General features: G+C 39.5%; 1 protein-coding gene across 25 annotated transcripts in view; it reads left to right on the top strand.

Moving 5' to 3' along the window:
- The window catches only part of LRRC4C (leucine rich repeat containing 4C), a 1,345,454-nt gene that overhangs the window by 1,165,229 nt on the left and 156,418 nt on the right, over positions 1-23,807 (top strand). For 7 of the 25 annotated variants that reach the window (NR_047674.1, NR_047673.1, XM_017018074.3 and 4 more), the window contains exon 1: positions 1,294-2,231. The exons of the other annotated variants lie outside the window; for them this stretch is intronic. The gene's annotated coding sequence lies outside the window, so the exon portion shown is untranslated. Of the gene's footprint in view, positions 1-1,293; positions 2,232-23,807 lie in introns of those variants that run through there. 25 annotated transcript variants of the gene reach the window in all.

The raw sequence follows: 23,807 nt of genomic DNA, 5'->3' as shown, positions 1-23,807 counted from the left end.
ATTTGATTTTAATGTCTTCCTCTTTGTAGCTCAAAACTCCTGGATTTCTGGATGAAAACAGGCAAGCTTTTTGAAAAAACTGACTTCTCCCACACAGCCTGAACCTCCCAGCGTGGGGGTTGCTTTTAGACTCAGCTGTTCTGGCTCTGCCCTCCAGGTGGCAGCAGAGCCACATCTCTGAAGCTCCAATCCCCTCTTCCCTGACTTCAAGTGTTAATGCAATTGACCAATCAGTGCTAAGATGATGGGAGGTAATTGGGTAATTGTATTTTACTGATCACAAGCAGAGAAAGGGAAAGGAAAAGGGGAAAGAAAGAGGGGCAGAGGAGGGAAGGCGACTGCAGTCCGAAAGGAGCTTTTGGAAGCTAGGACCCTAAGCGTCAGGACGTGGCATTGGTCGAGAGAAAGCCTGGGCTGGCAAGAGCTGCCGCCGGTGCTGGGAGAGCATTTATTTGGGAGAAAAAGAGGGGAGAGAGCAGAGGGAGGGGGAGGAAGAGAGTTCAAACCGAAGTGGATGGAAGGGGACTGGGGTTTCTGCCGCGCAGGGAGCCGTGAGCCAGGGCGATGGCGCTAAGGGCGGCGCGGAGCAGCTGCGCTCCCGAGAACGCGTCTCCTCGCAGAGGACTAGCAGACATCGGGAAGGTCTGCGCCAACGGGAACCAACTTGTGGCTCCAAAATGTACCCAACGCAGCTGGAAATGAGATCAAAGCTGCAGTTGCATTTGAGAAGGATGAGAAGAGCCAGCGATTAGGGAATTTTTTTTTTACCCGTTTTCTTCCTTTTTCTTTTTTTCTTCTTTTTCTTTTTTTCTTTCTTTTTTCGTGTGTGTTTTTTTTAATTTGCCTACCACCCTGTCTGTCCCCTCACTTCGCCCTCCCCATTTGAAATAAAAGCCCCAGTCTCAACTTCCATCACCTCGGCGCTCCCGGAGCCACTACCGGCTGATGGAGGAGAAGGGGACCCGGGGGCTGGCAGGGGCCACCGGCGAGGGACCGCATCCTGCGTCTCCCCCGTGATCCCGGCCCCGACCGCGGAGTTCTGCAACACCTGGAGGATCTGGACCGGGTGCTGGGGGTGGGGGCGGGGACAGAGGAAGGAAAGGCACCCCGAGCCTTAAAAAGAAAAAAAAAAAGTAGCGGGGGGAGGAATGGGTTTCTTCTTGACAGCTGACGGAGCCTTGAAATTTTCCTCCACTACCTCCGCCCCCGCCCCCGCCCCCGCCCCCCGCACTCCATTTAACGTGAGATTATGAAATTGCAGAGGCGGTGGAGGGAAGGAGACAGGATATAACCGGAGTTTGGAGGGGAGAGGGGAAGGTGGCTGGCCGGGTGGCTGAAATCAAAAATTCAATTGCGCACTGGGTTGTGATGAGAAATCTAATCAGATCTTTGGCGAAGGGGCCGGCCGGAAGGATGGAGAGTGGGGGGGAAGTTGCTCCCCAAATTCTTCGAAGGGGAGGCTGGGGAGAGGAATTGACCATGTAAAAGGAGACTTTTTTTTTTGGTGGTGGTGGCTGTTGGGTGCCTTGCAAAAATGAAGGATGCAGGACGCAGCTTTCTCCTGGAACCGAACGCAATGGATAAACTGATTGTGCAAGAGAGAAGGAAGAACGAAGCTTTTTCTTGTGAGCCCTGGATCTTAACACAAATGTGTATATGTGCACACAGGGAGCATTCAAGAATGAAATAAACCAGAGTTAGACCCGCGGGGGTTGGTGTGTTCTGACATAAATAAATAATCTTAAAGCAGCTGTTCCCCTCCCCCCCCCCAAAAAAAAGGATGATTGGAAATGAAGAACCGAGGATTCACAAAGAAAAAAGTATGTTCATTTTTCTCTATAAAGGAGAAAGTGAGCCAAGGAGATATTTTTGGAATGAAAAGTTTGGGGCTTTTTTAGTAAAGTAAAGAACTGGTGTGGTGGTGTTTTCTTTTCTTTTTGAATTTCCCACAAGAGGAGAGGAAATTAATAATACATCTGCAAAGAAATTTCAGAGAAGAAAAGTTGACCGCGGCAGATTGAGGCATTGATTGGGGGAGAGAAACCAGCAGAGCACAGTTGGATTTGTGCCTATGTTGACTAAAATTGACGGATAATTGCAGTTGGATTTTTCTTCATCAACCTCCTTTTTTTTTAATTTTTATTCCTTTTGGTATCAAGATCATGCGTTTTCTCTTGTTCTTAACCACCTGGATTTCCATCTGGATGTTGCTGTGATCAGTCTGAAATACAGTGAGTGACCCTTATTTTCTTATTTATTGGTGAAGAAAATGTCAGTTAATTTGGTGTTCTTGGTCTCTTTATCCTCTCTCCCCCTTTGGTGTTTTTTTTTAAAGAACTGGCTATTGGGGGCCAGAAAATAAGGGAATGGGTGGCCCACGCATTTGCTTCATCAGTCTCTGCTCTCTGATAAGCCAGTTTGCTATAAGGATGCAGGTTGACTGCATCCTGGGCAGACGCCTTTGCAAATGTTCACCAGGAAAAAAAAAAAAAGCTCCCCAAGAAAGCCGCTGCAGTGTCGGGTGCCAGTGCTGTGTGACTGACACTCCAGAATGCATTTAAGTTGTTTGTCAGCCCCGGAGTTAGATGCACAAATGTTTCGCTATTGGAAATCGAAGGGACTCAATTTAAATTTCATTATCCAACCTGACATTGCAGATCAACAGAATGTATTAACACAAAAATATGACAATAAACCAAGGCGATGAAGGGTGGCTTCTGGCTGGTGCGTGGGTGGAGGGAGAAAGGGTGGGTTTTTGGGCAAGGAAGCTGGTGGAGAGAAGTGGCTGTACTTTCCACAATCACTCTTGCATACATATGCCCAGATGTGGTCTTCAGATTACCCGGGTTCACACCAGTGCTAAAAATGAAACAAGGAGGACCTACTTCTCTCCAACTCCACCCCCTTCTAACTGAGGACTTCTTTGGATTACAGAGAGGCTGTGTATAGACTGTAGAGCAGTGGCTTGGGTTTTGCCAGAAACCTTTCCAACATCACCAGTTCACAGCTCCTCAGAAAAAGAAAGAAATCTAGTGTCCTGTGGTAACTTAGAAAAAGCAGCTGAAGAAGAGGTTGTGTTGAGCACTAATACTTCTCATGTGCCAGCTTTGTCTTGGAAAAAGAGGCCAATATAAAAAATAAAGCAGAAGGTGGAAAATGCTTAGAAAGTCTGAGCGCCTGTAGGATCACCTTCCCTCCTCCCCTATAGCTGCCAAAGTCATGGAGCTGGCCTTTTTTACAGAACTTTTCCCCTTCCCCCTTCGCTATTCCTCTCTGGGGCCTTCTATCAGAATCATAGACTCATATAACTTTCGAGCCAGAAGACTCTCCAGAGATCTCAAGTCAATAAAAAAAGGAAACTGAGGCCTAGAGAAGCTATAACTCTTTCATTAATGGCCAAACAGCATGAGACAGGTGACTCACACAAGCCTCAGAACGCCAGGCAAAAGTCAGTTTGGGATCCAAACTGGACAGGTATACATAGCCTGGCTACTCCTGTATTTTGGATGCCGTTTTATGAGTAAGGGTCAAAGGAAGGCACATTGGTCCTGAGAGCTTGAAATAAAACTTCTGCCAGTTTAGACCTCCAGGGTTACAAACTCCAACATTCATTTTCTCTCTTCCCTTCCTCCCTCTCTCCCTCTTCCTTTCCTCTTTTCCTTTCTATAGCATAGTTTAGGTAACCTTGGCTTGAATACCATTTAAAAAAAAATAAGATCGACAACTCTGACATATCCCAAAGGAGATGAAAGGCAGCACTCTCCTGGGTCCCTTCTTAGTGTTTAATCCTGTGAGTGGTGGTCCCCAGAGAGTCATTAAAGAACTGTAGAGTTAGATTTATATTAGAGAGGTGATAATATAAACCAGAAACACACAGCTGAAAGCATCTGAGCCTGTTCTTACACTCACATCATCTATTCTTATCCTTTTCATTACTCCTTAACTAAACTAGCCTACAGCTGAGCACTTCTCTAATTTATTTTTCTGGGCACATGTTTCCTGTTGGAACACAGATCAGGCAATAAATTTACCAACCTATGAAAATAATTGTGCAAGATGGTTTTATTCCCTGAAATCCCCATAGGCTTGTGCATATATTTTCATAGTTCTCTGCACTTTTTTTGCATTCGTTTGCTTATTTGCTTTGTTTTACGTTACCACAGTTAAGTCAGCATTTGTAGACATGGAATGACTCAAGTTATATTAAGTTCCTGCTCAGCTGGAATTTAGCACAATGACAAAGAAAGTAAGAGGAAAAACATGTACTTGATGCTTTTTCACTTTATAGTTGAGTTCCTGGCTTCACATGGGAACCCCAGCCTTGAAACTAGGTTGGGTCTGCCAATTGGAGGAGATTTTATTTTCTACATATATATATATATCTTTTGTTGACATCAAAATTTCTTCAGTGCTGCTCTAATTAGGTCTGAAAGCACATTCCTCTCCTTGATAGTGTCACCTCCTCCCTGTGCCCTCCACACTTAATGTATACATGCAACTTTCCTAAGAGAGAGAAAGGGAAAGAAGTGAAGAGAGAGAATCTGTTTAAAATTTTGGTCTGAAATGTGTCCTCCCATCCCCTCCACTTAAACATTTGCAAATCTGGAGTTAATGGGGCATCTAAGGTGTCATCATCTTTCATACTGGCAAATCATTTCAGCAACTCTACTGTTAGGAACCTATGGCCCACCTGGGGGTTAACACCTTTGGTTTAGTAGTCAGAGTTGGCCCTGCATTTTGGTTAAGTACTGATTTGTTTTAAACTGATTGGTTAAGAAGCACTGCATTTGTTCATGTACTTTTCAAAGAATTAGGGCCATGACAGAGCTGGAAACTTACTTCATCAGTGGGTGTCAGGGCCCAGGTTGGTGCCCACTGAAAGACATTTGTGAGTAAGCAGTTGTCCACCAGAATCTGCCGAGGACCCTATGCCCAGAAAGCTACTGGGTTTTACAAGTTTTAAAGTTACGTTTTCAAATATCTTCTTCCTCAAATGTAGTAGCTGTGCCCTTTGAACAATACTTTTAATTTCCCTGGCTCTCAATTGTCTAGTCTATGAGGTGGGAATTATAATATGTAATTTTTGAATTGTTTTATGACTTAAAAGGAGTGTTATGCAAAGCTGCAAGCATAATAGGCCCTCTAAGGATGGCTGTTTGTTATGGTTATACTTGGATTAACGTGTATTAATTTCCTGAGAATGAATAACAATCTGGCTAAGCACTTTAACAGTTCGAGCACCAATACATGTAAAATAGGGAGTGTGCAACTGACCTTACAGTGGTTGCCAGGATCCTCATTTGAGGTCTTATCAGGACAGATTGGCTCAATATATTATTTTAGATATAAAGTGCTGCCTCATACTAGAAACTGTGCATTATGACTTTCTTCTAAGAGTATAGAAAAATAAATCTCAGCAAAAATAATATTTAAATGAAATTTTACAGGGAAATAATGCAATTAATGTGCTGTGTGTGTTTTTGGTCTAAAAGTTGAATAAGAGATTTCTGGTATTTTAAGTGTGTCATTTTAGCCACATATTACATAGTCTGGACCTGGATGTACAAAATAAAGGCAAATGTCTATGCAGTTACATAATTTAAATTATATGGTATAAAATTCCATTACTAATATTAAGCCCTCCAAAACCACAATTTGGATTCACAATTCTAGTCAAAATGAATGCTGTGTTCATTAAACAAAATCTTTACTTTGTTATAGGCTAAAGACTCATTAGAATATATAGAATGAGGAAGATTTAATGCAGACACACACGTCATTGTTTACACGTGCAAATCTTCCCACACCAGTGGTTTTCTGAGGCAGGCAGTCATGGTCATTGCTCATAATTTCATTCTCTACAGCAGCAGCCCTGTTTTCTGTCCATTTCCTTAATATTCTTCTAGGGACCTGTTTTCCCCTTAAGAGAAAAGGAGTTCTACTGTAGTAATTGTTATTCTTAATGTCTCATCTGTGGATGATAATAGTACAGTTAGGCTTGGGAGATAACCATTGGATTCTTATGTTTCTTTTCAATGAAAACAATTTGAAATCTGTGTGAATATTGCAAAAGCATTTGAAAGTTCACCATTTTCACTGACCTTAAGAAAAGATGGAAATTCTCTATGAAAGTTCTTACCATTTGATAAATTTTACTTTTTTGCATGCTTCCTAAAGATGAATAAGAAATTAGGTGAAACTTGGACTCTAGCATCTTAAGTGAATTCAAATACTCAGCTTCCCACTGGGCCACGTGTGTTACATGCATCATTTAACCTCTCTGAGCCTGTTTGCTTATCTGTAAAATAGAGGTAATAACAACTGCATGGAACTGTCTGCCGTGAGGATGAGATCAGATTGCATATGCCACGCACAGCAAGCATTCAATAAATGCACATTTAAATGGATCATCTATGATTTTAGTTTAGATTTGCAGAAAAACAGATATGGACTCTGTTGGAGGGAAGCTGTTACTCTAAGTTCACATTGGCATAGACTAAGAAAGAAGAAATATATAGACAAGATTAAGGTTGGAGTAACATATAAATAGATATGACCATTTTTGGTAAGGTCCTGCCATTTTAAAACATATATAGAAGTGCCTTAGTGAATGCCATTTCGTCAGTAAAGATTGAAATATACTTTGTGAATTGTGGAAAATATATTCTGTGTCATATAAACTTTGGTTAGAATGTCACATACTTTATAATACAGGCATAAAAACATGAATGATCTGTAAATGGTATCTTAGAAGATTCCCTAAGAAGGTCAAGAATCAGTTGCATCTTTCATTTCTTCAAAATAATTTTTGTGGAGAAATATTAATTTGACCATTGAAATTTAATTAGGCTGATCTTGTGGCTGAGACACTGTGCTTATAACACTTTCTGAATGCAAAGGTTTTGTTATGTCCTCAGCACCTCAGAAGAATGGCTGGCAAGTAGTATGCATGCAATAAATACTGCTTGAATGAACTTCGTCTGAGAAACACCTCCTCTAAATAACTCAAATGCATGCACATACAAGAGTGTATGCAAACACACGCAGGCACGCACATATATACCAGAAGCCTGGCTTTGGGGAATTTATAGAAGCTTAGTAACAAAAGCCAACGAGTATACTGATGGAATACACACACACACACACACACACACACACACACACACATACAGTGACATTAAGTTGCTTCCTTATGTTGGAAAACCTGAGGTCTGAAAGTCATGTGATGCAGTGTGTATTTCTTATTCTTGGTGTTGTCATTAATGAATTGTGACATTTTGTACAATTCAACTTACCTCTCTAGGTTCTATATTCTCTTCTGTTAGATCAAGTAAAAACTAAGGTTACTTCAAGCACTAAGATTTTAGGATCCTGAGTTCATAATTGACTACCTTGGAATTTAGTATTCCCAAAATTAAAAATATATAATTATTGTTCTTAGGAAACTAGTTATTAAAATGTGGAGAAGAATCCCATAGTATTCAGTGAGAAAGGCAGAATTGTGTTAAAATGGCAGATATGTGGGTAAAAAGGTGAAGGAAATGCTCAGTTTGTAGGGGAACTACTTCAAGATTTGGAATAGACAAACCTTGGATTTCAACTTTGTTTCATCACCTGTTAGCTGGGGCCCCTAAATTTGTCAATTAACCTTGTTAATCCTCGGTTTCCTCAATTGTAAAATTGACTTTATTTTTTGCAGTTATTTTGGGAGCAATAAAATGTCTTAAGTATTTGGCACATGACTGGCACTCAATAATTGCTAGCCCACTTTCTTTTCTTTGAAATCTTTGGTTATTTAAAACAGAAATGGGAAGATTTAACATTTAAGATTCTGTGAGTGTTTTGCTTTACTTTTATGGAGCATATAAATAAAGATTTCCTGCCAACTTTGCTATCCAAGTTGGTGATGTTATTTTTGATCATGGTTTTCAATGTCAATCAAATTCATAATGAAGTCTAAAAATAATGAAAAACTTATGTAAAGTTAATGTACTTTTCTTTCAACTTTGCCACAGGCTTATGAGAGCTTTCTGCACTTAGGAAAGCTTTCAACACTTCCCGGGTTTACAAGTATCTAGTAGTCCCTTCTTATCTGCAGTTTCACTTCTGGTGGTGTCAGTTACCTGTGGTCAACCGAGCAGAGATTTTAAGAGAAAGAGACTACATTCACATACTTCTATTACAGTATGTTGTTATAATTGTTGTTAATTTTTACTGTGCCTAATGCATAAATTAAACTTTGTCATACATACATCTTTACAGGAAAAATGATAGTTTATGTAGGGTTTGGTACTATCAGTGTTTTCAGGCATCCACTTGGGATCACGGAATGTATCTCCTCTACCAAAAAGGAGGCACTACTGTAAGTTAATAAAAACAGTAGTTACCACCATTTCTTGAGCATTTGATATGCACCAGGCACTGTACTGAAAATATAACAAGTATTTTTTTTTCTTTAATCCTCACTTGAAAACAGAAACACAAAGAGGCTAAGTGATTTGTCTAAGGTTGTATAGCAACTAAATGGTGAGGCTGGGAATAGGAACTGCGTATCTGCTGACTTGAGAACCCAAAATCAGAATCAGTAAAGTCAAACTTGTTGACTTGGTAACAAATAAACATAGCAGTTCACTATTATGTAACCAGGTACTCAATCTGAATGTTTTCACTGGGCTTGAGATGTCTGCAGTTTCCCTTTCCCCTATTTCCTGAAATGAAAGTTCTCCAGCTGCTTAGGTCACATATACCTTCCGTATATTTGTCAGTCCTCAGTCATTTCCAAGTATGCCCTTAAGTATAGAAGTGACTTCTAAGAAAGACTTAGGCAAAATTGTCCCAACTCACTGAACATATCTAATGGAGAGAAAGATTTTGCAAAATGTTATAAGGCATCTAGAAATTTATAATTATATGAGAAATATGGTCAATGCTAATAGTAAGGTTAGAGTTTAGATACGATGTGCTGTAAACCAGATGAGGTCCTCATTGTGGGGACCCAACACCTGATGTTAGTCCTTCTTGTGTTTGATCTCTCTGTAATACGATCCCATCACCTGCCTCTGGTTTCCTGAAACTCTTCCAAGGGCTTGAGGCACTCCTCATTGATCACTTTATTGATATCACTTTATCCTCCTTCTGTTTTCCTAATCTTCTCCTTAAATAATGAGGGCTTCCCCCTTTGAGTCACTTCTACTCCCAGTCTCTCTGCATTCCTGAAAGACATAAGCTGGGGGTTTTTTGAGAGAGGAATCTCAAATCCTGGCTAACCTGTGTATGCTGTTTCTGTTTTCTAAGTGAGGATTAAGGAAAAAAATACATGTTATATTTTCAGTACAGTGCCTGGTGCATATCAAATGCTCAAGAAATGGTGGTTACTACTGTTTTTATTAAATTACAGTAGTGCCTCTTGTTGGTGGAGGAGATACATTCCATGATCCCCAGTGGATGCCCGAAACCACTGATAGTACCAAACCCTACATAAGTGTCCATTGCCAGCAAGATCGCACTTAATTACCTGAGTCTCCTACAAGCCTTGCAAACTTAATACTCCATCTATAACTGGTTATTTTTTCTCCAGAAACCTAGATATGCACCAGGCACTGTGCTGAAAACATAACATATTTTTTTTAACTCCTTAATCCTCACTTAGAAAAAATAAAAACTTGGATATTTACAGTTTTAAATGATGTCAGTATCTCTTTAACATCCCTCCTATCCAACCAGTCATCAAATCCAATCTACTCACTATCTTAAAGTCAGCTTTGGTCTATCTCGCTATGGCCTTGGTCCAGATTCTAGCGTTTCTCTCCTAGATTGTCTCTAACTAGTCTTTCTGATAATGCCAATTTTTCCTCAGATAGTCTATTACTCGTTCTTCCTCTAGATATATCATCCAACAAGTAATGCTGAACATCCTCTTTATATTCTTGAAATATGTTTTTAGAATAAAATCCAGACTCTTCTCAACAGCACAGTCTTCCTCAGATAGTCTATTACTCGTTCTTCCTCTAGATATATCATCCAACAAGTAATGCTGAACATCCTCTTTATATTCTTGAAATATGTTTTTAGAATGAAATCCAGACTCTTCTCAACAGCACAGGCCAGCCAGCCTATTCATGCCCTCTCCCATCTGCCTGCCATGCTAAATGTTTTAGTCCTCTGGGGACATGCCAGCCTAGTTTGAACGCAAACTTGGGGAGAGCTAATCCATTTACCTAGGATATGATCTTCATATGTCAAGTCTCAGAGCAAGTTACCTCCTTTGGGAACATCTTTCCCAGCTCCCCTAAGCCCACTGATCTCCCTGTCCTCTGTACACAAACATTTTGTTCATATATTTGTGATAGCTCTTACTATTGTTATATGTATTTGGCAAAAACCCAGTAAATTGTGGCTTCTTTTAGAATGTGGATCCCATTGACTGGGTGTGGTGGCTCACACCTGTAATCCCAGCACTTTGGGAGGCTAAGACGGGTGGATCAACTGAGGTTGGGAGTTCAAGACCAGCCTGACCAACATGGAGAAATCTGTCTCTACTAAATATGCAAAATGAACCGGGTGTGGTGGCACGTGCCTATAGTCCCAGCAACTCAGGAGGCTGAGGCAGGAGAATCTCTTGAACCCAGGAGGCAGAGGTTGTGGTGAGCCGAAATCACGCCATTGCACTCCAGCCTGGGTAACGAGAGTGAAACTCCGTCTCAAAAAAAAAAAAAAAAAAAAAAAAAAAAGAATATGGACCTCATCTTATTCTTCTTGTCATCTCCCACATCTAACTAACATAGTGCATAGAGATTTTCAGTGTATCTGGGGAGAACTAATAAATGAGTGGCCTGATCTAACACATCTTTAAGGTAAAGAAATTTCTTTAATTCAGTTAGTGATATAGGCCATTATTTTCCCAATATTCTTATTGTTAAGATTAAGTTTTATTATTTTTCCTGTAGGGACCCATTTTTCATAACTACTTTGCATAATAAAACATTGCAATTTTTTTTTTACTTTTACTAATAGACAACATGTACCTGGCAGTTATCATTTTTTGAAGTGCACTAGATGAACATTTAAATCAAATGATTTTATATAAATTGAGCCAAAAGCAAAGGTGATTTAATTACCTTGTGCAAGTACATGGGTATGTGTATGAAATCTAGTTGGCTTTTTGAAATATTGATAATAGCTGTTCTTGAGGATCTCATTTTTAAAAATAGTTCTTTAAATATATTTTAGTGCTAATTTAATATTCCAATGCATAGCTTCTCATAGGCTTACTGTAGGTGTGGTAATGTACAGTCCTCACTGACGTTGTTCGTGAAGTCTGCTGGTCACAAAAATCAAGGTGGTCCTTGCAGTTGTGCATTGCACATGCCTCACAGTTGTATGAAGCAGGCCTTCCTACTCATGAATGATTATCAAAGAAGAGAATGTAAATTTTAAGTTTGAGTAATGTCCATAAATGGACTAATATAACAAGAGATTAAAAAATATCTCCCTAATAAAAGTACCTTCATTAAATATAGAAAATCATGAGCTGCAATCGTTTTTGACAACATGTGAACACCTGGCTTTGTGGGAGCCAGGCATACATACATTCATGGATATAATAATTTGACTCCATGCTACAGAAGGTTATTTCCTCCTTTCTCTCCTGAGGAGCAGCAGAAAACACTGGATCACATGAAGGAAAGTGGTAAATGATAGGATATTATTTAATTATGGCTTAATTTTATCTTGCAATTTTGAAGAGAAATGTCTTAAATATGTTGAACTGGAGTATTTGTGTTTTTACATTAATAGTTCTTTTTTAAAGTTTTTCTTCTAGTTTTAGATTATTTCCAGTTTAGAGATTAATATTATTAATCTCTAATAATAGCAGATGATAAAGCACTAATAGTCATGCTTCATCCTGCTTTTGAAATCCAGTGATTTCTTTTAATCCTTTCAACAAATTTTAGCCCCAGAACTGCCAAAGGGATTATTTCCTGACCACTACATTCCTTATGATAAAGCGTGAGGATTTGGGAAGGTATGCCAGGGAAGTTTTTGGGGTTTTTTTGTTGTTTTGTTTTGTTTTGTTTTTGAGATGGAGTCTCACTCTGTCACCCAGGCTGGAGTGCAGTGGTGCGATCTCGGCTTACTGCAACCTCCACCTCCCAGATTCAAGCGATTCTCCTGCCTCAGCCTCCCGAGTAACTGGGATTACAGGCACATGCCACCATGTCCAGCTAATTTTTGTATTTTAGAGACAGGGTTTCACCATGTTGGCCAGGCTGATCTCAAACTCCCGTCTTCAGGTGATCCACCAGCCTCGGCCTCCAAAAGTGCGAAAGATTTATTTAGAAGAGCCAGTGATGAGTTTTGTCTTAGTTCTTGTCAAACTACAAACTGTTGAGATGACACTTGTAGGCAACCTCCCAAGACAACTTCTTGGGAGGGATCCATTTGCTTTAGCTCATCAATTTTGACCAAGTCACATTGGGAATGTAGGAGAATTTAGCTATCCAATTATATGTGTTTATTTGTTGCTAAAGTAGGAGTGTGTGTGTGGGAGTGGGGGTCCACAGATTTTTAAAAAAGAAAGCCTTTTTCTGATGATAACTAATACAGTTCCCTAATTATTAAAATAACCTGTTATCATCGATGTGGTCCTGCCTAGAACAAGTTGACAGATTTATTTGTGATGCTTTAAAAGACATCTTATTGTCCGTGCAGCTGATCATTTTTGTTTGTTATTAATCTAAAGAACTGTAGTACTAAGGAATTTAATTTCAGGGCAATGGACATGTTTTCTTTCAACTAATGGTTTGATAATGATGGTGGGAACTTCAATAACTAAGATATGAATGTTCTGAAAAAGGTGCATGACACTTGAAAATGTAGAGATGTGCCTCTCCTGAATGATTTTACAGTTGAACCTGAGCCAAATCTCAGAGTGTGCCGATTTTTACAACCTTAGGGGAAAGAGAGAGAGAGATTGAGAAAGAGTTTGCGGGGAGAGAGCTCATCCTGGCGCAGCTGTTCTAATCTGGGCAGAAAGAATGCCCATAGCTTAGTTAGCTGATCTCTAGAGAGGCTCACCTCAGCAGAGACCACAGCACGTGTGTGGATGAATGAATTCAAACACATTATGGGGAGGGATCTAGAGGACTCCGATTTTTACTAACTGAAAAGGCAAAAAGTCAGAAGCCACCCTAAAAGAGTTAACATCTACACAGTGGTGTGCAGGAAGGCAAGAATGGAACTGTGAAGGCTTTCTCTGTATTGTTTTGAACGTTGCCATGGCAATAGTTTCCAGCAGAAGTTACATGTTTTTCAATTCCCCAAAGCAGCAAGCAGCCTTTCCCTCTCTTTCTCACCCTCTCTGCATCCATCCCTATCCGCCTTCATCCTTAGTCCTCCCCATCCCTTTTCTCCTCCCTCTGTCCTTTCTTTTGTTCTCAAGTCCCTCTACCATTCCCTATTAACAACAAAAAATTCCAACTCCAAAAGGTCGCTTTTAGACAGAATGCGAGTCAGACATATAGTCTTCTATCCGGGTTTCTGTTTTCCCCCGTCTGTTTACGTATTAAAGACCTAATTAAACGGAAGCTGTGGATGGAAGCAGGGTTGGGGCTTTCCCTTGTTGGTAGGACACAGAACATATTATAATGGTTGGTGTTGTGGCGATATGTTAATTGAATCGCTCCAGGCAAGTGCAGAGCAGCAGTCTCTGACAATTAGAAAGAACAATGACTTTACTATGAGTGAGCCCACTCTCTTAACCAGTGGAAGGATTAGCATGCATTGCAGGTCTCTGGAAGGTTCCTGTAGACCCCGAGAGAGATCTGCAGTTGGAAATGCCTCCTGTCTCTTTATAGCTATGCTGCTGCCTCTCCTTTAGCTTACTTTCCTGCCAAGGGAAGATGAGTGAGAGGATAGTAAGATCTGGTTTACTGGGCTGTTGCGGGACCGTGTCGCAGACCTGAGCCATAGGATATATTACAGGGATGTTAAGAAGAAATCTTTGCCTGCTTAATGCACGTGGCCAGTGAATTGTGAAATGGGTCTCATTAGAGCCTTTCATATCCCGGCATGTGCCAAAGTGCTTTGCCGGCACAGCGCCATCACTTCAGGTCCAACCCTTCTGCTGTTCACTGAAGCCAAGAAGGGACAGAGACTCTGTCTGTATTAAAGCCTTCAGTCCCATCTCTCTCTGTCTACTGTTCATTGTAAGGTTCCTCTGGGCCTTTCAGTCCAGCCAGGGATGAGGCCCAGCGTATCCCCTAGGTGTTTATTGAGAGGAAATACTAAGAATTTTGAGCATCACAGATGGATTTCAGGCAGCCAGTGGGTGCTGGCACCCAGATGTTTCCTTTTTTTCCCAGGGCTGGCACTGAAACTGTATCTAGACTTCCCTGCAAATATGCACAGATACTCACCTGAAAGAAAGGGTGAGTAGTTCAGGGCCGAGTAAATCATCAAGGACTTATTTGTTAGATAAAAAGGAACACTTTACTTTTTCTCAGATTCATATACTAAAGATTTTAAAATGAAATTATATCTCCCAGAGCATAGTCCCATAAGTAATACTAATAAATGCCATATACTGAGTACTAACTGTATGTCAGGCACTGTGCCTGTCTCTTATTTAGAACACCCCATGAGTCCACAAGGTTGATGAATGACATAACAGCACAGACATGGAAGGCAGACTAGTAAAAGCTCTGTTACCTCTTAGATCTGTGGTTTCAGGCAATTTATTTATAATTCTGAACCTCAACTTTCTTATGTGTGACATAAGCATGATTATAATGCAGGATTGTAGTGAGTTAGAATTGAAATAATTCACATAGAACTTTTAGCAAAGTGCTTGGCACATGGAAATACTCAAGCTATTATTTGTAAAAAGATAAGAGATTTTCTTACAACAATATTGTAAAATAATTACTAAGCATATGCCTCCAGAAGAAAGGTGTTAAAAGTAATTATAGGCAGATTGTTTAATAAAAATGGAAATATGGCATAAGAAAATGAGTTTCTGAATGCGCAATGGTGTAATTCCTGTTGTTTTCTGTATAGCGCTGTAGTTTGGAAAGTAGAATTGATGAGATCAATGAAACAGATTTGTTGCATTTATTCTGGGTAGATGATTTTTATCCATCCATATTCGAGTTTTCTTTTGGGACTGATCTCTTGGACCTGTCTCAGTTGTGATGCCTTGGATTTGACATAAGAAGGGAAAAGTCTAGCGAGGTTAAGCAAAAAAGAGAATTTGCTGACATATGTAATTGAAAAGTCCTACAGTACATGGAGTTCAGGTGTAGTTTGATCCAGATGTTCCCAATGTCACAGGGACTCCTGCTCTGTTTTCCCTATATTTCTCTTGGCATAGTCCTCTTTCATGGGCTATTTTAATCAAGCCATTGTTTTGCATTCCCTCAAATATCACCATAGAAATTTCCACAGTTTTGTCCCAGCACTCCCAGTGAGCACCCTGAGATCACAGCTGATTAGATTAGCTTATGTCATATTTCTACTCATAAACTATCATTGGCTTTAAGGTAAGGGAGTAGAGGGTCAGTGCACCCCCAGATGGAACTCAGGGGCTATTGAGAGGTAACAGGAATTATGTGCTGGAGACAAAACCCACTAATATCTATCATACGTCTGGTGGTAGAGAGTGAGAAGGACAAGTTGCTATGTTTCATAATGTAACTTGCTACAAGGGTTAATTTTATTTGTACTTCTCTGTAATGCTACATTGTATATAGGTATTGAAGTTGTAATAACTAAGGAATTTTGTTCTTCCAGCAAATCGTCTGGCTGTAGTGATCAATTTTTCAGTGGAACAACTTCATCTGCATTCATGCAATTTTTGCATTATTCCTCTCATCTCTTAGAAACAGATCTTTGTTTTTGAAAGAGAATTTACAAGTCCTTTTTCGGAAATGAAGAAACAAAAGCAAAAACAAAAGAATCATCTTCAGTCAGTAACAGCTCACTGGTAGAGGATCTTTAAAACGCCTTGAATACCCACACTCCTGGTCACTTGTCCCGGCCATAGATGTGTTTAAATCTAGCTTTGATTTAATCTAACTGTTGTTGCAAAGGTCTTAGCAGTGACATACGCCATTCCAGATCTCTCGATTCTGCCCACCCAGGGATGGTGATCTGGGCCAGGTGACACATCTTTTTCTTCTTCATAGGCAAGGTGACGGAAACTCATATCTGGCCTTTGGATACAAATATTTGTTAAGAAGCTCTGTTCAAAGTACATGATTGCTTGCCAAGTTCAAGGACTTACCTCTTTTGAAGTCTTAATACTGTGTGTTCCATATTGGGAACACTGTACTTACTTAATTCTTACTTATGCAGTGACATGCTCAGAATTGAGAATCAAACCAAGTTCATATATTTCTCAAAGCTATGGGAGAACAAATAACTGTTGGAGTAGGGTTTTCCTGGAAAGTTAAAGCAATGAAGGAGACTGCCACTTTTTTGAGTACCAGTTGTATGGTAGCAATAGTAGTGAGTTATTTTATATATTTTATCTCAACGTACCCTTTTGACAACTGCAATAATAACCACAATACAAAAAAATCAGCGATAGGTAACATTTATGGAGTGTTTGCTGTGAGTAGGCACCCTCTAAAGGTTTTACCTTTGTAAAGACATTGAATCCGCAAGCAAATAAGCAGTAAGCACCCTTTTTAAAGGTGAGAAAGGGAAGCTCAAATAAGCTCAATGACTTACCCATGTCACAGAGACAATAAATGGCAAAACTCTACTTTGAACCCTTGGTCAAGCCAGTGGTTTTATACTATGCTGAGCTGCCTCTCACATGGGACTACTTACTACTACCGCTAATTAATAATAATAATAATTTGATACTAGATTTCTTTTAGTTTAAAGAAATAACACTGAGTAAGACCTGTAACTCTTTCCCTTAACCTCACCGCTTTTTATAGTTCCTTCCTCTTTCCCCCTCTTCTTATCCTGGGTGTTCTCAGTTCGACAACCTGTTATAGTATTTTGCCTCTAGTTTGGCCAGGGCAGCTACCCAGCCACAACTCTGGATATTTGAAAGTAAAACTTTTTATGCATCACTTATTTTAAATATATCAACCCTTTGAGATTGCCACAAATAAACCACAGGGGTCTTTAAGGAGGCCTTACTGTTTTCTTATGTTGGGGAGAGTGAAGAAACATTTAATATCCCAGTGGTCCCTGGCAACTGAACTTGCAAAGTCTGTGCAGATATTAGTTGGCAGGCCTCATTCCTTAAGATGTGGTGATACTAACAGTCATACAGCTGCATAAGGCTGTACCGCATATTTCCTGTCTCATTGGTATCCATCAGAAGACATCCTCCTCTGTATATAGAACAGGAAATTGGACCTTTTCCCCCATAACTCTTAACACTCTTTACCTTTTCCTACCAGGATGGTACATGGGAGAGGCAGGAAGAGATATAGTGATATAGCTCTGGGATACTGTCATTGCCACCTTTCCCATGAAGGTACTAAACAAAATTGCCATTTTCAGCTTCTCCGGGCATTGGTCCAGATGGGAGGCAATGCCCCCAATCAGTTTCCTTACTCCTTCAGCATATCGCCCTTTATTTTGCTTATGACACAGACACTGCAGCAGCAGGGAAGACAGGCACAAAACAGCATGATTGCAGAATCTATGGACACAAAGGCTTGCTTGCATACACAGACATACACACACACACACACACACACACACACACACACACACACACACACACTTGTTTCCCACCAATTTATCTCCGGGTCCTGAATTCCCACATGACTTCTCCTGAAGGGCCTTCTAGAGACATGTGCCACTTATCTTCCTCTGTTATTCAAGGTACAAGGAGAAAGAAATGCATATTGAGGCAATACACTATAGATTCAGGGCATGGTTTGACATCTGAGAATGATTTTCATTATTGCCTGCTCCATATTTGAATGAACACCTTCTCTACAAAGAATATAACCGTAGCTTTAATATCAGTTGTGCCTTCTTATCCCTAAATCTAGGACTTTTTAAAGACAAATGGAAGACGACTGGAGCTAGTCACTATTTTATATTATTCGAACCACTGCTTTCTGTCCCTTAGGGCTGGCAAGACAAAGCAGGCTCTTGCTTCCTATTGTCTCTAGAATGTGTCCCTTCCCTATTCTAACTCAGCATTTAGCACTTATCAGGCCCAGGTAACTATAATCGTGCCCTGATTTGCCCTTCTCTTTCCAGCCCATCTTTATCACGTTATTTATCTTCCAAATAATCACAAAGCACTGTTTTAATGCAGTTCTCCTACTAACAAACCTTCATTTGTAAAATAAGTGCCAGGCCCTGTAATCAAAATCTCCTCCAGAGAGCCTCTCTATCTCAGCTCCTCCTCTCTCTCAATTCCAATATGTATTTCTTGGCTATGCCATATTGATTTTCATTTCCAATATCCTGTTTTGCATAAGTAATTGTTCTATGTGCTTATTATTTGTTTGTGCTTTTAGCCGGAAGGCTCTCTGAGGTCAGCCCCTTGACTTCCACCTCTGGGTCCTCACCTTCATGCCTTACATATAGTGGATAGTCTATAGATGCTTTGTGATTGAAAGAATGTTCTTCACAAGCTTCCAACTGCTGATCTTAAACAAAATTTTTAAAAATTCAAATGAAATTATGACTTTTTTGTTAGGTTTTCATTAATCTTTCTAATAGATAACCCCATAGACTCCACTTGGGGCCAGCCAACCTTCTCCATTAGGGGAACCCACCTAGTAGTGTGTTGACTTTGAAATAAAAGAAACTCTCTTTTGCTGAGTTTCCTATGATGTCTCTTTAGAGAGCTGGTATTGGATGAGCGGTAATTTAGAGCTCAAGGTTTCCTGCAGCTATTTGCTTAGCAGGAATGTGGAGCTCCCTCATCAAAGCAACCTGCTTCTGTGGGCTCCGTTGTGCTTCAGAGGGCTGCCTGCTTTTATGTTCTGTAGTATGGATATGATGGGGAGATTTCCCAGGGTTTCCCAAGGGAAATGCTCATGTGTGCAAGATGTTTCTTTTTCCAGCCTCCCATTGGATTAAAGTTATAAGGAGCAGGATGAAATTGTTACATTTAATGTTTCAAATCTCCCCCTGTTTGCATATTATTCTAATATGCAGCAATGGTCCCTGAAGCTAGATTGCCAAATGGGCAGGTGTAATGGTGAATCTTGCAATAACAGATAGAGGCAAAAAAAAGTAGAATGCAGTGTATTTCTCACATAATTAAATTTATACATTTAAAAGACAGACTCTTGTTATTTCATTGGGATCAAAATATCCTCTTGTTAAAGGTGAATGATTATAATAGTAGAAGGTATTTTTTAAATTCTAATGTCAATGCTTAGCAAGATATAAAGTCATATAGATATAATTGCACAAGTGTGTGACAAATGACCACCATGTCTATTATTCACTTCGATAGTCTAGGACACTGCCATAAGCTATAAACATTAGAGCCCCTGAGCAGGTGGTTGCAAGTGAAATAGAAAATATGGGTGCATTTCACTTGTAGCTTCTTAGCAGCACCTTTGTAATGGCTGTTTCCTACTGCTGAATGCAACTGTCAAAGGTGACATTCCATTGAGGATGCTGCTGTGTGCTCTGGTTGTAGCACTCTATGTAAGTTACCTCTTTTCTGAGCCTTATGTTTCTGTAAAATAAGAAGTCTGTGATGCTCTCTGGTATTCTTTTTATCTATCCAAGAGTCTGAGCTATTTCACAGAACTATTTACAGGTAACAGGACTGTCTTTGCCGAAGAGAATGGAAATACATTTTTCTAGCTCCCCTTCTCTGACATTTTGGATGGCTAATTTCCTTTCTTTGCCACTTCTTGCCCTCCTCTGTCTCCCTTTTCATTATGCTTATCAAATGTATTTATTTCTGCTACTATCCATGTCTAGCCAAGTCCTTCTTCATATTGTGGTTTCTGTGTGTGTGTGTGTGTGTGTGTGTGTGTGTGTGTGTGTGTGTATGTGTGTGTCTATTCCGCAGGGTAAGCACTTAATTTCATACTAGCTTCCACTAATTAACTACAAAATTAAGTAGGTGAATTCATTGATTCAGCACTTGGTTTGATGTTTATATTAACACACTGAAAGGGAAGCCCTGGATGTGGCCAGAGGCTTGACGGGAATCTTTCCCTCCCCTCCGGAATCTCCTTTGACTTCCCACACTAGATTTCTATCTTGCTATTTCTCAGAAGTATTCATGCTTTTGGGGAGCAGCCAAGTGACCAAAGCTGTATCAGATAGGAATGCCATTCTTTGTGACCACAGAAATAATCATTTCTTGTTCTTTTTCTGCCCCAGCTTACTGGCCACAGCTCCAGTTCTACTTTTGATGCACCTGGAGAATGCTCTCAGGATGCCTACCAAGATTAAAGTGATAGGTTTTTAATGTCAAATGCCCTATAGCCACTGCCCACCTGCCCCCTACCTCGTGGGGAAAATAGACTAAACTCTTGGTTGAAATCCTCACCTTGTTTCTACCAGAAAGAATGTAGGTAGGTAGCCATAACAGCATCCACACCCACATCAGAACAATCAACTAGTGTTCAGCAAAAGTCATATCTATTTTCATTTCTGTTTCCAATAATCATATCTTGTTTCATTCTTCTTTGCCTTAGCATATAATAACTACAAGTAAGCAACAGGTATGTTGGCCATTTGTCACAGAACTGTGTTTACAATTTTTTGAACATTTTTCTCCATTTATGTAAAGATTTATGGCTTCTTTCAAACCCTGAAAGTAGTATCTAGCAGAGAAAATATGTTTTATGATAAAATAGACTGGAACATGGTTTGTAATAGAGTAACATCCATCGTAAAGAGGCCTTTTCTTGGAACCCATCCAAGCAGGTCAGTAACTTGTCAAAAGTAATTGGATTAAGAGAAAAATGTTGGATGAAATATATGTTGTCTGAATTTCTATACCTTCTGTATTTTGTGTCCCTGTTAAGAGTCCTGAATTAAGCAGCATTGCCTTAAGGTAGTGTATTTGTTCTACTTATTGAATTATATGCACTGATCATTAGGATAAACTGACCTTATCTTCCCACTGCAGCATTACTAGTTGCCTTTGTCATTGTCCCCCAGTGCTTCACTCATACCCCTTCCATAACACTTACCACATTACCTACTAATTATATGTTTGTTCTCTATCTTCCCCCATAACTCTAAGCTTTGTCTATTCAGGGAACCAGACTTCCTCTTTGTGTATCTCTTTGATACATACTGCGTATTAAATCAATATTGAAAGAAAATAAATGAAATAGTGAACATTTAAAGCTTAAAGTGTATTTAAAGCAAGACTTAATTTATCTGATAATACTACAATTTGAATTTTAGTAAACTTTTATTTTGCAAAACTCATTATCACAGTGTTTTAAATTATTGTATCTAACAGTGCCATTAAACTCATCATATAAATTAGCGTCTTAAGTCACTATTTTGAGTCTTAATCATATTGACACATGGCTTTAAAATGTGGTTGAATTAGTATAACTAAAAGAACTAATTAGTTTCAATCAAGTTACCATTTTGCAGGGACAAAAAAAAAAAGAATGAATCATAGGTTTACACTCTGTTCACATAGTCTGAATAATTTAACTAATGCTTTTATAATAAGACATGCTTTCCTCCAACGTGATTTTTGGTTGAAACTTTGCACCAAAAGAAGATGTTTCATTGAAATTATCATTTCGCACTAGCAACTACTTTATTGCATTTTTTAATGTGCTAGGAGTGGAACAGACTTTGCGGCAATTTTTCTTTCACTTGGGGTCTTACACATCTTTAAAAATGTAAAATAAAGTGAAAAAAACAAACTAACAAAAAGTTGCCGGAAATTTACCCTCCCTCCTCTCCTTCATGCATGTAATTTTTCAAGAATCTCTCCAATGGATCTTGGTTAAAGAATAGATGATTCTTAGAATAAATTTATATGGAGTATCCACAATGCCAGAACTCATAGCTGCCTTATTATCTATTTTATGTAGGCTTAAACTTTTGAATCAGGAAGTCAGACATGGGCAATCAAGGAAGGTTTGGGCCCATTATGTTTTCAGATATTCATTTTACCTAATTGCTTGAGTCTACATAATTGGATTCATAGTATTCCACAGTTAGCGAATGACCTTTGTATTTGTTTTTCTTAAGGCCAATGGAGAAAAATGTTAACAATAAAATATCCACCAAATAGCTATTTTCTTATGGAAATTTCAAAATATTTTCCTATCACAGTTTCCGTTTTCTTATGCAATTTCTACTCAATGAAAACCTCTCAGCTTTCTGGAACTTCTGAATACATCCGTATTTCATTTCTGTTCAATTTGGAGAATGTTCAATGTAATGTGCAGATATGGATTGATGTATCATACCAAGGTTTTTCATGGTATTTTATAGCACTGACTTTCAGATAGAACCAAAAGGAACATAGACCAAATGGTAGTATGACTGGAATTATATTAATAACTGAATGAGTGGGAGATACCACAAGTGGCCTGCTCACTCTGGTTCAATTCAATTTGTGAAAATCATAGGACATGATAGAATAAAATGTTACTATGTGTCTCCCTGGGTCTAGGAGGCAGATATGAAATGAATCCATTGATGTCATGTGAGCCACACAAGAGTTCTTCCCTGACAGACATTCATGTGCCTTCACCCACATCGGTAGACAGGGGTCTACATTCGGAGCTGATGGAAGTGAAGAATGAGTGTGTTATACCCCAGTGAAAGGTTCAGGAGTGAGCAGAAATACTGCCTTAGTGGCTTCAGGAGGCAGAGAAATGCCAAAGCCTACATTCATCGAAGCTGTTTCAGCCAGAGCCAATAACTGAGCACATTTGACATAGTTCAGTTCAGCACAAGTTATTAAATGTCTGCTATGTGGTATGCTAACCACTATCAGTTTATGCTAGTTTTGAAATCCTCCCTTCTACATAGAGTTTTAAAGGTAGTAAGTTAGAAGGGAAGAACTTTACCTTTCATTCTCCACCTTTGTGTTCTGTGGTTTAGCGAAATTCGTTTAACTCTTCCAACACTCTCTTTCCTAATTTGGAAATGCAGCTGCTCTGCTGTCTCTCTCCTATTCAGTGTTGTTGAAAGGATGGAAACATGGCAAAGCAGAAGAAACTGTAGACTTTTCATTTAGGAGGGGCTGAGGGCTTATAGTCTGCTGGAAGGGAAGGGGTATTGGGAACTGGTTTTGGAATAGGAGACCAGTTACATTTTCTTAGGTAATAAATATATCTGGGTAATTGGGGGTAGCAATGTTGATGCAAATTATTTTGGGATGAAGTACATCCTATCCTTTCGTGTATGAATATCTCTTAGGATGTTTAAAAGGCTGCTCAAATTGAAGGTTTGCAACTTTTGTGGCAACACCCTGCTTTAGTAGGTGCTCAAATGTCAGTATGCTCAGCTTTTCCCCACTAGCCACCTTACTCAGGAAGGAATAATAGAAAAAGCATTAAATTGAGCTCCCCAAATTGTTTATGTACACTAGTGTGATCAAAATCACCCGATACATATGATAACTCTCAATGTCATTCTGCCTAAAAACAGTCAATGATCGAATTAGTTGCAGCTATAGATGCTGTGGTAGCAGAAGTTTTTGTTTAGTGAATTGCCAGCTTTCAATGAACTGTGCAAGGAGCAACTGTGTGAAAATAGAAGTCAGTAATCCCCCTGTTCATCTCTTCACCTCTACCTCATTGTAAGGAGGATTTGGGTTCTTAGATTGGTTGAAAGAATAGAGGTTCTGTGAATAAAATAGA

This window comes from Homo sapiens, chromosome 11, assembly GCF_000001405.40.
Source record: "Homo sapiens chromosome 11, GRCh38.p14 Primary Assembly".
Classification (NCBI taxonomy): Eukaryota; Metazoa; Chordata; class Mammalia; order Primates; family Hominidae; genus Homo; species Homo sapiens.
This window is presented reverse-complemented; position numbering and strand designations above follow the sequence as displayed.